General features: G+C 43.2%; 1 protein-coding gene, 1 long non-coding RNA gene and 1 pseudogene across 8 annotated transcripts in view, besides 1 other annotated feature; 2 read left to right on the top strand and 1 right to left on the bottom strand.

Moving 5' to 3' along the window:
- RPL9P20 (ribosomal protein L9 pseudogene 20) lies at positions 243 to 949 on the bottom strand (annotated as a pseudogene).
- Positions 5,981 to 7,340: a silencer, noted in NCBI's record as "silent region_18960". NCBI's record gives its function as "represses an Ori minimal core promoter by ATAC-STARR-seq in GM12878 lymphoblastoid cells {active_cell/tissue: GM12878}" and the evidence as "EXISTENCE:reporter gene assay evidence [ECO:0000049][PMID:35858748]".
- ZDHHC2 (zDHHC palmitoyltransferase 2) overlaps positions 6,522 to 16,336 on the top strand; it is a 68,318-nt gene continuing 58,503 nt past the window's right edge. For 4 of the 7 annotated variants that reach the window (XM_011544544.4, XM_011544545.4, NM_016353.5 and 1 more), the window contains exon 1: positions 6,522 to 6,893. In XM_011544544.4, coding sequence (XP_011542846.1) covers positions 6,751 to 6,893 — 143 coding nt within the window. In that variant the 5' untranslated portion in view covers positions 6,522 to 6,750. Of the gene's footprint in view, positions 6,894 to 7,203; positions 7,457 to 16,336 lie in introns of those variants that run through there. The other 3 variants (XM_011544546.4, NM_001362988.2, NM_001362989.2) reach the window with 1 other exon arrangement.
- LOC107986918 (uncharacterized) lies at positions 12,816 to 14,887 on the top strand. The gene is made up of 2 exons (XR_001745818.3): positions 12,816 to 12,905; positions 13,104 to 14,887. It is a non-coding gene; the product is annotated as an uncharacterized LOC107986918 (long non-coding RNA).

The raw sequence follows: 16,336 nt of genomic DNA on the forward strand, positions 1-16,336 counted from the left end.
AGCGAAAAGATGGTTTTTTACTCTTTAGATTCATCTTCAAAGGAAGAAATCTCCTAGTACCAAAAACGTAAAATTGTTTTCAGCTTCCTGTTACTTCTCATTTTTGTTTCTATAAAACAGTGAAGGGATTATTACATAGGGGACTTTTTTGTTTTTTACATTTACACATGTAAGCCTTAGGTTGAAGAAATCGATGTATACTGTTCTATGATCCAACTGGCACCTTACTCTTCTTTTCTCCCCCAAATCAATAGGTCTTTTATTGCATCATTTAAATATCACAAATAGGTCTTAGGAATCATCCGGCATCTTGTTTCTGTACCTGGACTACTCTTAGGTCTTATTCAGCAGCCTGCTTAACTGTTCCTTTTTCAGAGACGTAAATACCATCCACACATTTTCTGATATCCTTGTTTTTATTTAATTGTCGTGGCTGGCTGAATCAAAGCAGCTGAATTTGCAACAAGATCAATGTCATTTCCTACAAGGGTTAATTCATCTTTCTGGGCTTGAGATACTGAACAAGCAACACCTGGCCACTGCCAAACCCTGTGGATTTATTTTTCACCGAGGAAATTTCAGAACTCAACCAGAGACCTATTCTTCCGGATAACGACATTGATGGAGAAGTGAGTACACACAGAGCTCATCTTGCAGCGGAAGCCCAGCACAACATCCTTGACCATGTCCTGTGCATGACTACAAATAGTGCAAACGGCAGCCAGTTCCTTTCTGTTTCCCCACCATTTTTTGTCAGTGCCGGAGCCTCATTTTTTTTCTTTCCAAGGAGACTGAGGTCTACATTGATGTGATTGAAGTCCATCCACAGGGTTCCTCTAGGGCCTTTCGCAATTACTGGGTATCCCTTCAAAGTGATATCTACATTTTCTGGAATATGGACAGTCTGGTTGCAGAGAATGGTTTTCATTCTCACAGTAGACACAGCGAAAAGGTGGTTCTTTACTCTTTGGATTCCTCTTCAAAGGAAGAAATTTCCTAGTACCAAAACGTAAAATTGTTTTCAACTTCCTGTTACCTCTAATTTTTGTTTCTATAAAACAGTGAAGGGATTATTACATAGGGGACTTTTTTGTTTCTTACATTTACAAGAATAAAGCCTTTTGAATATTCAGACAAGACAAAATGTCTAAACAGTTCTGTCCAACAGAACTTTCTTCAATGATGGAATGTTCTAGATCTGCAGCATCCAATGCAGTAGCCACTAGCCACATGTGGCTATTGAGCATTTGAAATGTGACTATTGCAACTAAGAATTTCCAATTTCATTTCATGTTAATTTTAACAAATTTGAATAGTGGCAACAAATGTTACTAGTGGGTACTTATTGAACAATGCAGGTCAAGAGAGTGTGATTTGAATGGCACCAAGTAAGCTTCTTCACCCCCAAATTCCTGTATCCCTATTTCTCAAGGTGCCTTGGTCTCCATGAGCTGAAACTAACTCTTTAAGCAATGAGATGCAGAATGAAATTAAAACTACGTGCCATTCAGAGTTCTTGGTTGTAAACACAAGTCAACTCTAGTTGACTTACATAAAAAATGTTATGCAGTTATATAGGCACTCCTCCAAAATCAAAAGGAAGCCTGGAGAATCAAGCTTGAGCTGGAACAAAGGAAGCTGGTGCATGGCCAAGATCTTGCCACCAAGAACAGTCAACCTAGGATGCCATTGCTGCTCTTAATATCCCTGGACACTTGCCACTACACTGCAGAATTCTGCTGCCCTTGGTCACTCTCTGCTGGCTGTTCAGCTCTCAACTCCACAACGGCCACTTCTAATAATCTCCAGTTGAACTTCGGACATTGTATCACCCCTTAGAGATCCATAGTATAGCTGTGTCAGTCCACTGGAAGGACATGTCTGCTCACCTTTTGGGTTCATAGACAGTGCCCCTCCCCATTTAGGGGCAAAGAAGGGAAACAGTGTAAGCAAAAATATTATTTCAATGAAAATTTCCTATTTTATTTCCAAAGAGATTGACCTTAGTGCGAATTCTAAAGAAGTGCACGCAGAATCAGAACGATTTACTATATAGAAAAATGCTTTAAGTCTTTTAAATTTTTTGAATAGGGTTGTCGTTTTTATTAATCGTTAGCCATTAAATTATAATATAAAAACTGTATAATTATAACATAACTTTTTGTTTTGAGAAGGAGTTTTGCTCTTGTTGCCCAGGCTGGAGTGCATTGGCGTGATCTTGGCTCACTGCAGCCTCCACCTCCCAGGTTCAAGCAGTTCTCCTGCCTCAGCCTTCCAAGTAGCTGAGATTACAGGCACCCGCCACCACGCCCAGCTAATTTTTTGTATTTTTAGTAGAGATGGGGTTTCGCCATGTTGGCCAGGCAGCTCTCAAACTCCTGACCTCAGGTGATCTGCCCGCCTTGGCCTCCCAAAGTGCTGGGATTACAGGCGTAAGCCACCGCGCCTGGCCAATTATAACATAATTATAATTAGTTACAATGATATATAATTGTTCATGAAGTTATAATTCATATTTATAATTGCCTTGCTTAAGCTAACAGTTGATAACTATTGAAATCTATGGAGAAAAGGTGAAGACTGCTGCACTGCTTGGTGTGTGCCTGCCATCTAGTGGCAGGACACATTAATGCTACCGTGAAAGCCCTAGTGTGCCTGAAAGGCAGGTTTGCCAGGGACAGTTTGCTCCACTTTACATTGTCCCAGTGTTTCGACCCAATCAACTGTATACAGAGACATCCTTAGGCTTTTGAAATTATCTCCCATTTTATTCAATATAATTACAGCTGAATTGCAAACATAAATCTCTGACAGCCAAAACATATCTAAGCATTACTTCATTCCTACATTCCCTAAGCGCGATTCCTTTTCTTTTATTTTATGTATCTCCAGAAACAAAAAGTGGTTTAGGCATGCTATTCTTCTCCCACAGAGAATGTTTTGACCGCTATTATAAACATGCACATTGACACTGGAGTCACTGATGTCATGGACTGCTGCCTTCTAAAGAGCTCTTCTCCCCCAAAAGAGTGATAAGATTAAGTTTGAGAAAATAATGAAAGAGAATCTATCAGTATTCATGCAGACCACTCTAGTAAGGATGGGAGAGCCATTAGTAAATAAGATATAGATCCAGACCTCAGCTTCATTGCTTCCAATCCTTGTAAGATTTAGAACTCCTTGTATTTGTGAAGTATCATACCCTCTTAGCAAACTCAAGACAATCAACGTCTCATATACATGAGACTAATACGACTGACCTCATATCTTGTTGCAATGTTGCCCTCTAAGAACCCTTCCAAAAGGAAGGAGTAAATATCAAGCAAGTGTCCTAATAGTTTCTGGTAGGTGTTTTGGCTGAAAAGCTTGAGATGAGGTTGGCATAGGCAACATTAAGGGGGATCTGTGTTCTCTAGCAGCAGGTGCGTCCACGCCTTCCTGGGTTTGGCTAGCATGCTATGTTTGATTCATACTATGCAAGGGACTATGTTAAAATGGTAATCTGGATCTGCAGGCAGAAGGAAGATTAGCAGTATTAATCATGAAAGTACGGCAGACTTGAGGTTTGGGAACTCAAGAATTTGGGGGACTGGGCTGGAGGGAGAGGAGGAACGTTTAAGGTTCCTGGGCTGGGCACGGTGGCTCACACCTGTAATTCCAACACTTCCGGAGACCGAGGCGGGCGGATCACCAGGTCAGGAGTTTGAGACCAGTTCGGCCAACATACTGAAACCCTGTCTCTACTACAAATACAAAAAATTGGCCGGGCACGGTGGCGGGCACCTGTAATCCCAGCTACTCGGGAAGCTGAGGCAGGAGAATCGCTTGAACCCGGGAGGCGGAGGTTGCAGTGAGCCGAGATGGCGGCATTGCACTCCAGCCCAGGCAACAGTGCGAAATTCTGTCCGCCCCCCCCCCCCAAAAAAAGAGAGATTCCTTCATGGGGCAGGAACTGAAAATAAGAGTTGTGAAAATTTGAGAGGTGAATGATGTTGCTAGACCGCTGAGTGCAAGGAGCATACAGGCAGAGGCCTAGCGAGGATGGAGTCATGGTCATTAGGGACTGGATGAACCCAGCAAGGGGGCTTTTCTCCCGTTCTCAGTCACTCCCCTCACCCCCCTCCTTGCCTGGCTGTCCGCTCGTCTCTTCTCTTCCTTAGCGTCGCCTTCTTCCTCCTTTGCTGTGGCTGGCTTTCTTTTTCATAAGTGGTCATATCAGTTTAATCACAGTTATACATGAAACCTACAATTTCTTATGCTTATTGAACATTTAAATTAAAATTCGTGAGTTGAATCTTCTGTATTTCTAAACAGTAAGTCTCTAGTGAAGTTTCTTCTTGTCTATGACCTTCAAATTATTTTTTCTGTTTATGTAGTCCTAAAGAAAAAGAAAATAAATCAAAGGCTCTCTATACCTCAAAATAAAAGCTCTCCTTCCACTCTCATCAAAGACTAGTATCTAGAGATTGGCTACTCACCAAAGAGCTTACATTTGTGCGTGCTGCTTATGCCTAATTAGAGACTACGCAGAGATCAATCCTGTTATCTTGTGGCTGTGGAGATGCTTCTTCCTAATCCAGACTTTTTCTGTATTTAAGATAAGAGAACTTGAAAAACCCAGTAATAGTAGTATCCTTAAAATGGCAATAACAAAAAAAAGTTGAAAATATTTCACAAATATTTATTATAAATAGGAACAATTAAACAACATCTTAGATGAGTAATAAAAATGTAGCTCCTTCAAAGATATGACACCTGCATACTTTTCCAAAAGGGTAGATGATGTGAAAACTGGGCAGAATGCTATTCCATTTCCGATTTCAAGACCCTGTAGGACTGTGAGAGGAGGAAGAGCACAGGGCATCGTCGCATCCAGGATCTACAGAGGCACTATTTGCACTTTCTCCACCGTTTCCAGTATGGAAAATCCGATTCCTTCCTTTTCATACCTTGATGGTCTCTATTGACCTTCAGTCACTGATTTGCTTCTCTTTGTGAGGGTATTTCAGTCCCAGGAGGAAGTTTTAATTCCTGTTTTTTACTCTCTTCTGATTGGGGGGGAACACAGGATTAATATTCATGGAAAACATTAAGGAATCCAGAGAAGTTTTATTTTTACATTAATATACAGAATATCCACAGAGAATATAAAAGGCTACAGCAAAATCAAGTGATTCACTGGGACATAATATGTCTCTCTTTTCAATTATTTAAAGTCCCACAGAAACTTGACTGACATTTTCTATGCATTTTTGAAGAGAAATGGAAAGAGATGTGGGGTGGGGGGCTGTAACATAGTAGCTATTTCGGGAGAGATTAGCTTGTTGTGTAATCCAGTCACAGAAAGATAATCGCAGACACCAGAGCTAAATTTCTTTGACTGAATTCATGTAAATCAGTATTTTTTTTTTACTTCTACACATGAATAAGAAGTAATTTCATTCACTGTGGTTGCTGTGTGGTGTAAATACACATATTCACTAATGTTAAGAAAAATTGTGCCTATTATGTATAGTAGTGATGCACATAATTTACACACACTCATTGATTGAAATGTTTCCCTGTGGATCAGGTGCGTTCATAATCAGATGAAGGAAAAGCAAAGGAGGCATTTGTTTATTTTCCATTTCGTGAATCATAAAATCAGAGGTTTGGGCTGACTACCTTTAGGTTCCCTTACGGTGTTTTTTGGGAACCGCTTTGGAGTCAGCTATCTGCTAAGTTTGGAATTGCCACCACGAAAGTAAACACCGTAGTGAGGAGCGGGTTGAGGAAAAGAATAAATAGTTGGTGGAAGGAACCACCGTACTTGAGGGAGGGGACAGTGGGAACGGCCCCTGTCACAATCATTTATCCAAAGCATCAACATTCTCAGAGCAAAGAACTTGTGTTTCTAACTCCAGAGGTGCCTGGATTCACAGCCAAAAATGCTTCTTCCTCGCTCTCCACAGCCCCTCCCATGCCAGACGCCGGCTCGGCACCCCCTCTTCGCTGTGCATTTCTGCTTCCCCCGAAAGCCCGAGTAGTAAAGGGAGGCTCCTTGCGGCCCCCGCGGGCTCCCAGGGACCCGCAAGTTGAAGCGCGAGGGTTCCACGCGGGCTGCGGGGACGCGGGCCTCGGTGCTGCAGACTTTCTCAGGGCGCCTGGGTCGCGGCAGGCGCGGAGTCCCGAGCGCAGCAGCTGCTCCGCCGGCCTCGCCTCCGACCCCCGCCCTGCGCCAAGCGCGGAAGCGCTCGCGACCTAACTGCCCCGGGTGCCGGGCGCCTAGGGAGGGGCCGCCACCGCCCGCTCCGCCCCGGGGGCCTGCGCCCAGCAGCCCCCGCCTCCCCGGAATCCAGAGGCCGAGCCGGAGGCGGCGGGGCCACGGTGGGAGCCCGCGAGGTGGCCCGAGCGAGGGCCCCGCATCCCCGCAGAGCCCGCCCGAGGGCGCAGCCTGCCACGCCAGGGGAGGCGGCCGGGCGGCGGGGAACGGCGGGGGCGGAGCGCAGCCTCCCGACGCCGCCGCCTCACCGCCCCCCTCCGCCTCCTCGGCCTCCGCTCGCAGCCGCCGCCTCCGCCTCCGCCGGGCTGAGGAGCCGGGAGTCCGCCGCGCCGGCTCGGGGCTGCGGGATGGGGAGTTAGCGCCACGGCGGCGGCAGTGGCCGCAGCGCACCCCGCCGCCGCCCAGGAGCCCGTCCAGCCAGGGGTGCCGGGCCCGCCCAGCCCGCCCCGGAGCCAGGCCCGCGGGCGGCGGCGGAGCTGGGCAGGTGGATGCGGCTGGAAGATGGCGCCCTCGGGCCCGGGCAGCAGCGCCAGGCGGCGGTGCCGGCGGGTGCTGTACTGGATCCCGGTGGTGTTCATCACCCTCCTGCTCGGCTGGTCCTACTACGCCTACGCCATCCAGCTGTGCATAGGTGAGTGCGCCCCCCGCCGCGGCGCCCCCAGCGCAGCGCAGCCCACCCCGACTGTCCCGGGACGCTCAGCCGCTCCTCCGCTCTCGCCCCCCGGATGCGCCCCGGGCGCTGCCAACCTGCCGCGTCCCGCCGGCTCCGCCGCTAAAAGCAGCCTCGGGGCAGCTTCTTCCACGCGCACGCCCCTCGCCCTCCCCTCCCAACTCTCGGGTTAAGGTGGCGCCTCCGCCCCGCACTCGCCGCCGAGCCTCCCGCCGCCTTCCGCTCACCGCCGCCGCCTCGGCCACACCCCCTAGAGGGGCGGAAGGTCCCCGGGACCGCTGTGGAGAGGGGAGGCCGAGGCCGGCGAGGCGCGCCGGGGGCTGAAGGGCTGAGCTGGGCCCGGCCCCGAGCTGCGCCAGACCCGCGCGGGGGTGCTGGCCTTGGCGGCGGAGCTGGATCCCTTGCTGGTTGGCGTCAATGCACTTGTTAAAAATTTGTGACAGCGCTCAGGGGCGTTTTTGCTGCCTTTATGATTTGAGGATTGCCAGTTGGACACTTTTCTAGTTTAAAAGGATGTGGAGGAGGTGAGCTACTAGAAAGTATTTTTGAGGACATGTGCAACACACTAAACCATAATTTAGGTGTTTGAACAGTAGGGAGAGAAAAAAAGAGGTGATCGTCTGAGGTTTTTACATCCAGAGAGCGAAGTGGCTCCAGTCCGAGTTCGAGGTTCCTGAATTGGTGGGTAGGATACTTTTAATGCTGAAGATTAAAATTTTTTAAAAAGTTGATTATTATGCACAAGTAGGGAGTACAATGATGTCGCTTAATGTAAGCTGGTTTCTACCTTCAGGGGTTTTATGAAAACTGATCTGGGTTATCAGAAAAAGATGTTAAAACAGAAAATGACCTTTCTGCCAGTGACTTGTGAATGCTTTCTGTGTTTGGTGCTCCACCTAACAAAGTGTCTGTTTTTGCCCTACCAAGTGCTAGCTTTGGGTGGGACGAGGGAAAAGATGAAATAGTGGCCTATTATATTGAGCCTTCACAAGCTCAGCATTTTCAAAGCCTCAAGATTCAGACATAAAATCTTGTCTGAAGCCATCTTACCTCAAAATGTTGCGCCTTGTGAGAAAGTGTCATAATAATACATCAAAATAATCACTGATGTAAGTTGTAAGAGAACCGAGACTTTTATTTCATATAGTTTTAAAATTTGCTGTTATTACTTGAAGGGATTTAGAAACAAGCTTAATAGTCCAAAAAAAAAACCTTGAGTCTGTTGTTGGGAAAAGATGAGGCTGTACAGGCATTATCATGAGGATGCATTTAGGTATGCAGTCGTCAAGTCATCTAAAATATATAGGAAAGGACGTGTAGTAAATTTTGTATTAACTGTTAATCTTAAAATAGCTTGCCTTATTGAGATAGACTGTATATGTTACGTAACTGTTGGGAACCTTTGTTGTGTTTCATTCCTTCGTCCTCTTAAAAACAGTGACCAGTATCGATTAATATAACCTGCAAAGAAGGGACATCCTAGAAGGCCTTCATTATCAAAATAGCCTATTCTCCTGTATTATCACATTAAGCTAAGACGCTTATCTTGGTACAGTGTCTCCTGTCCATTAAGAGGAAGCATTTGAAGGCAGAGAGAGCTCTTCTGCCCGTTAGAAGGATGTCTGCTCCTAGCTGAGGTGCTATATGGCAGATCTTATTATTGTATTGGGTAGACAGGTGATGGGGAAGGAACTAAATGGAAAATTGGTATTATATCTGAATCGTATGTTTATATGTACTTTCTGTAAGTTTAAGACAAATCTAGAGTATCCATAAAATCCGCATCAGTATTTTAGTAAGTGACGATTTGACTAAGAGGAAGAATGCCTCTTTTTAAACTGCCTAAGTGGCGTGGCCTGTTATTGATACCTTATCTATCACTTCTTGTCCCTGCCTGCCTGGCGCAATGCCTGTCTGCCTGGCGTAATGCCTGTCTGCCTGGCCTGGCGCAATGCCTGCCACATTGAAAACAACAGTAAGTGGTCTTGAATAAACAAATAAATGATTCAGAGGCACTATCTCCTAGGTTTTCAGAAAGTAGCTTTTATATTTTTATTGCTGTAGAAACAAAAAGTAATTGTTATGAAAGATCTAGATTCTAGAGTCTAAGAAGGAAGAACAAGTTGAAGCTGAATTTGATTCTAGAGACCATGGCAGTTTATGAGTGGCAAGCTTTGCATAGCCTTGGTCGAGTGGGAAGTTGAAATTTCCTTATAGGCACTGGGAAAGATGGCGACTAGTGTGACTGACACACAAAACCAGACTCCCAGACTCCTTTCCTTTTCACAGACAAAGCAAATGGAAATACCAGCCCCCACCCTACCCCCAGTATTAATCACATCTCAGACTGCCCTGCCCTTTGAAGATTCTTTTTCTCTTGGAAGTTGCCATTTACAAGCAGATTTTCCAAATTTCTTCCATAAAACATTGGCCAAGGTTGGGACCAGAGTGTGGGGGTCGAGGGCTGGGAACTGGATCAGGTAGCAAATGGAATAGAAGAAACAAGGTGATTTACCCTGGTCCTCCTTCCACATCTGCTCTCAGCTAGGGATGACCCTGAATATAAATTATTCTGTGCCCTTTGCTGAATGAACTGCAATTTAGGAGTAGTGCTTATCCTGGTATCCTTGGAAACTGGAGATAATGATTCTCATTACAGTTAGTTTCTATATTTAACAACGTGGATGTATGTGGCTCTCTAGGCACTTTTTCAGTTAGCATAATTTTTGCTTAGTGTTTGTATTTTATAAAAATAACCTCTCTTTTTGGAATATGTGTATATGTAAAATATATGGGATGTACATATATTGTGTGAGAGTCAAGTATTTTTGGTTAAGTCAGCTTCCTATTCTGCCAAAGAAAAGATCACAAAAGACAGTTATACTTCTAATCATTTGGACCACGTTTATCTCGTTTGTTGATTAACGAGGCTCTTCTATTTGTATTCCTCCCCCTCCATCCTTTCCTTCTCTTACCACTCCTTTTCCCTCTCCCCTGTCCCTCCTGTCCCTCTCTCCACTCCTGGCTTCTTTTGTGTTTTAACTCTCTTTGCTCTCTTTAGATATTAGGTTGGTTTCCGTCAAGTAAGATAAACTCAAAGGTAACATTTGTACGGGGAACTTTAGGATGCACTATGAGAGGGAATGAGGGAGGTCTGCAGCCTCAGGCATGCTCCATTCAGCGAGCACACGACGTGGTTTATGTTTTACAGATCCCTTATGGCTGCTGCTGTGTTAACTTCGCTTGTTGAAGAAGGTTCACTGAAGTTTCCCCTTTTAAGTGCTAACATTTAAATTGTTTTAACTATTTCATACCGTTTTCTTTATTTCAGATTTACTGAAAAGTTTCAATAGTACAAGAAACTTCCACATACACTTGTGTAACCAGTTCAGTTCCCATTTTTCTTAAATATATTACTTTCCTGCTCCTTAGGCAGGTGCTATGGGACGTTTATGATGATGTTGCGCAGTCATGTAGTTCTGAATTTGCTTACGGTTTTAGTTACGTCATTTTAAACGATCATGAATTTTCAAAAGCTTAAAGGTCATCCAGGCTAACCCCTTCTGTATTTTTAAACGAAAGAGTTAAACTAAATTCCAGAGTTGCCACAAGTTCAATGTCCTTCCTCCGAGTTACCTAGCGGAGGTGTCAGCTATGACCTTAGCTGCTGTAATGCAGATGTCCAGATGTCTCCTTTTCCCAGCAAACCCCTCTCCAAATATCTTAGCCCATTGAAGTTATGCAGCAACTCTTTTTAACTTTATTATCGTTTACAGAGAGTTGACAGAGCTCTGAAAATAAGCCAACAGTCTTTACACAATTTTAGAGATTTAAAGGGCTTTGTAGTTTGGGGCTATATAGTACATATTTTTGGCTTTGCAAGCCGTGTGATCTCTGTTCCAACCACTCAACTCTGCTATCTTAGAGAGCGGCCATAGAAGATACTTTAACAAATGGGCGTGGCTTTTATTCAACAAAAATATTTGGCCAATCTTGGCCCTTGGGCAAAAGTTTGCTGAGCTTTGGAGTATGTGGGAAGCTAGACCACTAGAATCTTGAGGTTTTACTCGCAGTTTTGCTGTCTTTATTACTAAACATCCTTCAGCAGTGATTGCAGCCTGTTATATTCCACAGTGATTATAATACTTAGGGATCAGTTTGAGAGATACGCTGCCATGTTTTCATTCTTTTAAACAAACAAGAAAACAAACATCCCTAAGAACAAAATACACAAAGCCTCCTACTTGGATTCTGTGAAGTTATGACCTACCATTCATTGAAGGCCACTGCAGGCTCAAGGATAGAGACTGCTGGGGCTGTCAGTTGTTTTCCACCATGAAATGAATTTGAGCTACACAGAAGAAGAAATGTTTTCTTGTTATTGATTTTAAACTGTTGCTTTATATTATTAATATCTTGATATTCCTGATACTTAAACTATTACTTTAAAAACTGTGTAGGACAATAAAGCATTTTTCACAAAAAAAGAACAGGCAGTAGATCTTGGGAATACAGATGTTCTATTAAGTTGATGCAAAAGTAATTGCAGTTTTTGCCATTAGTTGGTTTTGCCAACTGTTTTAAATATTAAAATAGTTTTAAGTGGAATGTAAGGCACATCCATAGAAAACTGATGTATGCAAAACATTTAACGCCTACGTCACCTTAGAAATGATTACTTATTGGCCAGCACGGTGGCTCACCCTTGTAATCCCAGCACTTTGGGAGGCCAAGGTGGGAGGATCACTTGAGGTCAGGAGTTTGAGACCAGCCTGGCCAACATAGTGGAACCCTGTCTCTACCAAAAAATACAAATATTAGCCAGGTGTGGTGGTGCGTGCCTGTAGTCACAGCTGCTCGGGAGGCTAAGGCAGAAGAAATTGCCTGAACCGGGGAGGCAGAGGCTGCAGTGAGCCGAGATCACACCACTGCACTTCAGCCTGGGGTGACAGAGCGAGACCCTGTCTCAAAAAAATAAAAAATAAAAAAAAGAAATTATTAGTTGTTGGCAATATGATTCAAAATATATTCTGTGACTTTTCTTGATATTGTTGAATATTTTAAAGATTTGAATTTATGTGAATAGGGTAATAAAAACTCAACATTTCTTCAAATCAAAAATTCAAATGTATAAAACATGATATGTTCCAAACTCTTGATCCGTGCTCCCATTTTACTTTAATATAAATGGTCAAGTCGGAAAGGGGAGTAAGAGAAAGGACTCTGCTTAATGCTTTTTTGGTTCCATTTAGTGTGTCAGAGACTTCCTTTTCTTTTGATGTACTGGACAATGCAGCATTACTATTTGCTATTAAACCCTATTAGAGAAAAACATTTAAGGCAATTAGCACAGTCTTAGCATGTACAAATGCGCAATAAATGTTGAATGAATTAATCTCATAGTTTCTACTTAGTCTTATTCAATTGTATAATGCAAATAAGTGAGAGGACAGGATCTGGGGTCAAACCTCAGTTTAAACTGAGGCTTATTATGGAAAAGTTCGCTTGCAATTGCTTACTGAGAATGTCATCCATGCCATTAAATTGGTACTTGCAGGAATGTTTCCAGTAATTAAACAGAAGCTGACGGGATGGTTTCTTTATTCAAGATAATTAATTGTCTCTAGAGAAGGTGTGTTTCCATGAGGTTAGAAAGAAGGCAGCTTCTTGAGGGCTTGAGTAGGGTTCGTTCAAAAGCATTTACTTGCCAGGCATTTCCCGCCACAGAAATGATTTACAAGATAACTTCATAGAGATCTTTTCCTAGTAGCCAAGAAAAAAAACAGCCTCTGGGAAAAAACCCAAAACCAAAGCTTTCTAGCTGGCTTGAGCATGAGGAAAGGAGTTGCCACCTTTCCGGATGCCATTTCCACAGCAGAGTGGTAGGAAAGCAGAAATGGAAAGCAAAACGTCTCACTCCTAGACATGTGAGTTGGCTTCCTGGCCAATGGAAAAGGATAAACAATGAGGCAGGTAAAAAGAGCTTTTGGGGAGCACGTAAGTAGAAATGAGTTTTAAGTCACGTTACAGATCTTACCACATATATTTAGTGGTTGACATAGTCTCAGAGTAAGATTTTAAGCAGCAGTGTTTGCCTCTGCTATGAAGTAAGAGGTTGTTTTAGCTCCCTCACTTCTTACCCGATGCTCGGGCCACTTTTACTCTGTCCAGGGCCTGTGACCTTGTGGGTGAAACTGGGCATGAATGCAACTCTCTGAATCCACGGCGAGCCTGGAGAGCTTAGCTTAGAAATGGACAGAAACGAAGGGCAGGCGAGTGAAGCGGAGCTGACGTTGCACCTGAGGAACAGCCTTTGGAAAGAGCTGCTGCCTGGCAGCCGGTCACCACAGAACACTGGAACCACCACTGCTCCCCCAGCCTGGTAACAGCGGGTCCAGTGTTCCAGCCTGGGCAGTGTCCAGCTGGCAGGGCTGAGGTGGTTGCGCCCACATCTCAGGCTGCATGGTCCAGCGAGCTCAGGTGTTTGATCTTTTTTCGTTACCATGGTGAGAAGTGTGCTAGCGGGGAAAAAAGACAAATGTATCCCATAGATGAGTATATATGGGGGCGAGGGGTTCTCCATGAAATGGTCCTCATTGATTTTTTTGTTTCATTTGTTTTTATGTTTTATCTTGATGGAGAATTTGTGATTTTCCTTCTCAGAAAAATAGAGCTATACTTACATTTCATAATTTATACTGCTGATTTATGCCACTGCGTTTTGACAGTTGTATCATATCACCCAGCCTTCTCTTCTCCAGGAAGTGGTGTATTCATGGGTCCCCTGAGATTCCAGCACTGCTTATGATGAGTGTAGAAATTCTGTCTTGTCTGTCTTGCAGAATGACAGATTAGAATATGGCATAGATTCTTAATGCTGTCTGTTGGGAAAACAATATTCTAAAGATGATTAGAAAGACAGTTTTAATATTATGTGGAATTCTGTTATTACATATTACCATTTAGAAATACTACAGAGAATTTATAATGAAAGCATAAAATAATTGAATGAGGTTTTTAATAGTCCATTAGAAAATTGTTGAAAATTTTTTCCTAATTCCTTTAAGGGAATTTTATTATAATTGTCTTGATTGTTGTTTCAATCAAATGGCAGTAGTGAAAAGGGCGAAATTATCAAGGCAGGGGGTAGGAGGAGGAGGCGCTGGGTAGGATGCTCTGATTTCTTAAGAAGAATAGGATAGCTGTAAAGAAACCAGACATGATTGCTTGAGAATTTTCCTTTCAAAATGATAATATCACACTTTATATCATTTATGTAGCATTTTTCCTAATTTGACTTTTTATCTGGCCATGACTTTTAAATTCAGTTATAAATATTAATTGCCTGAAGTGTTATAAAATCCATTTTTATTTGAGAGATACTCACAAGCAAAATTATATGCTGCATTTCTCGTCTTAGCACTTCACTCTGAAGTGCATACTTAATGGTAGTTCATTTTAGGTATGTTATTGATTGGATTACATTTTTAAAATGCAAATGAGTAAGTGCGTTTATGGATGGCTGGGTTTTATTTCTTTGCCAGTATTTCTTCCTGGTATCCTGAAGTTTCTCCTCATGTGAAGTATACAATTAAGCATTCCTGTCATACTTAAATTAATTAGACCTTTTATTCACTAGCATTGCCACCCCAGAGGAACAGAGTGGTGCAGAGGAGTTCATCAGCAAAATATACACTAAACAATAAAAAAAAAAAACCTTTTTCTCTAATTCTTTTGAAACAAAACATCCAAATAATAAAATAGTTTCTAGGTAGTTGTCTATCTTCATGATCATGTTATAAAAGATATAATCCTTATAAAAATAAGTTCATATTGTTTCAAAAATTGTATGTGATTATAATTCAGTGAAATTTGGGAAACCAGAATGGCTTTGTCATGATTACCTATTTTCTTATGTACAGATAAAATTAAATTCTGTCTCTGTGTTTACTGCATTATGTGAATGGATTTTCATCATATTTGAAGGGTATGTGACATGGAGTAAGGGTGAGTACATGGAGTAAGGTGACTTAAAATTCAGACTGAACTGTGTCCCTCATCCCTTTGGATCCCATGAGTCCTCTCAAAGAGCTGAATCAAGGTATGGGTTTTCACCAGATTTGTAGGGATGTGAGGAATGGTGTGATTTGGAATTGTGTTTGTAATGTACATAGCACGTTGGAAGTATTTTGGTAGGAAAGACAGTCCACTCCAGAACAGCTGAGCTGGAGCTGTAATGAGAGACACCTGAGGCCAACTGCGAGCATGAAAAAGATTTCAATTATGAGTCTCACACTGAAAGTCATAAGCTTGCTCCAAATTCCAGGGGCTAACTTGTGATCAAGTTTACTACTAAGTGGGCAACTCCATGTGACCTGTTTTAGGAATAAAGGCAGTCAGGGATTTATGTACTTAACTATGACTAGTGATTAGCCAGGGCATCTTCAGAGAGGTCAGTGAATGGGAAAAGATAAAGGGCAGGGACCAGTTTGACTTAATCAAGGTCTTAATTGTAGCATATTTTAATGAAATGCAACTTACTCCAGGACTAATACCTGCTGAAAATTAAGATATACCAAACAAAGAACTGTATGTCATTCAAAGGAGGGGGAAGGGTAGTGATTCACCATAGCCTCCCATAAACTTGCCCTTTTACAAATCCAAGAACTGAATGCATTTTAACCGTCCATAATTCATTGGACACCCTTTTAATTTATTCGTTCAAAAAATATCTATTGACAGATGTTGGAGCTTACATTTCTAATTGGGGGAAGGAAAATGAAATAAAAAACATAAGTACATTAGACAGTTTGTTAGAGGATCATCAGTGGCATGACACAAAGCAAAAAGTAGGGCAAGAAGGACTGAGAATGCCAGAGGAAGGTTTCGATTTTAAATACAGTAGCCAGAGAAGGAGAAGAACTCATGAAATTTAAGCAGAGAACTGAAGGAGCTGAAACATTTAACCATGCGGGTATTGTGGAGAAATATATCTCCGGCCAGGGGAGTTTGATTTACAAGCACAGAGGCAGGGGTCAGCCCAGCATGTGTGAGGAAGAGCAAGGAGGTCATTTTGGCTGAAGTGTAGTGAGCAAGGGAAAGGGAAGTAGGTGACAGGTCAGAGATGTGGGGAGAAAGCAGAGATCATGGAGGGCCTCAGGCCAGAGGCCACTGTGAGGACTTCGGTTTTACTTGGGGTGACATGAGAATCCACTGCAGGGTGTTGAGTCCAGAGGTGATGCACTGCGACTTAGATTTGAAAAGATCTTTCTGGCCGCTGTGGACCTAGGCTACTGCATCAATCCAGGTGAGCGATGATGGTGTGTGAAACCGTGGCGTGGGCACTGGAAATGGTGAGAGGTGGTCAGATTCTGGACGTATTTTTACAGTAGCGACAGCAGAAC

Source organism: Homo sapiens, chromosome 8 (assembly GCF_000001405.40).
Source record: "Homo sapiens chromosome 8, GRCh38.p14 Primary Assembly".
In the NCBI taxonomy this organism is placed as follows: domain Eukaryota; kingdom Metazoa; phylum Chordata; class Mammalia; order Primates; family Hominidae; genus Homo; species Homo sapiens.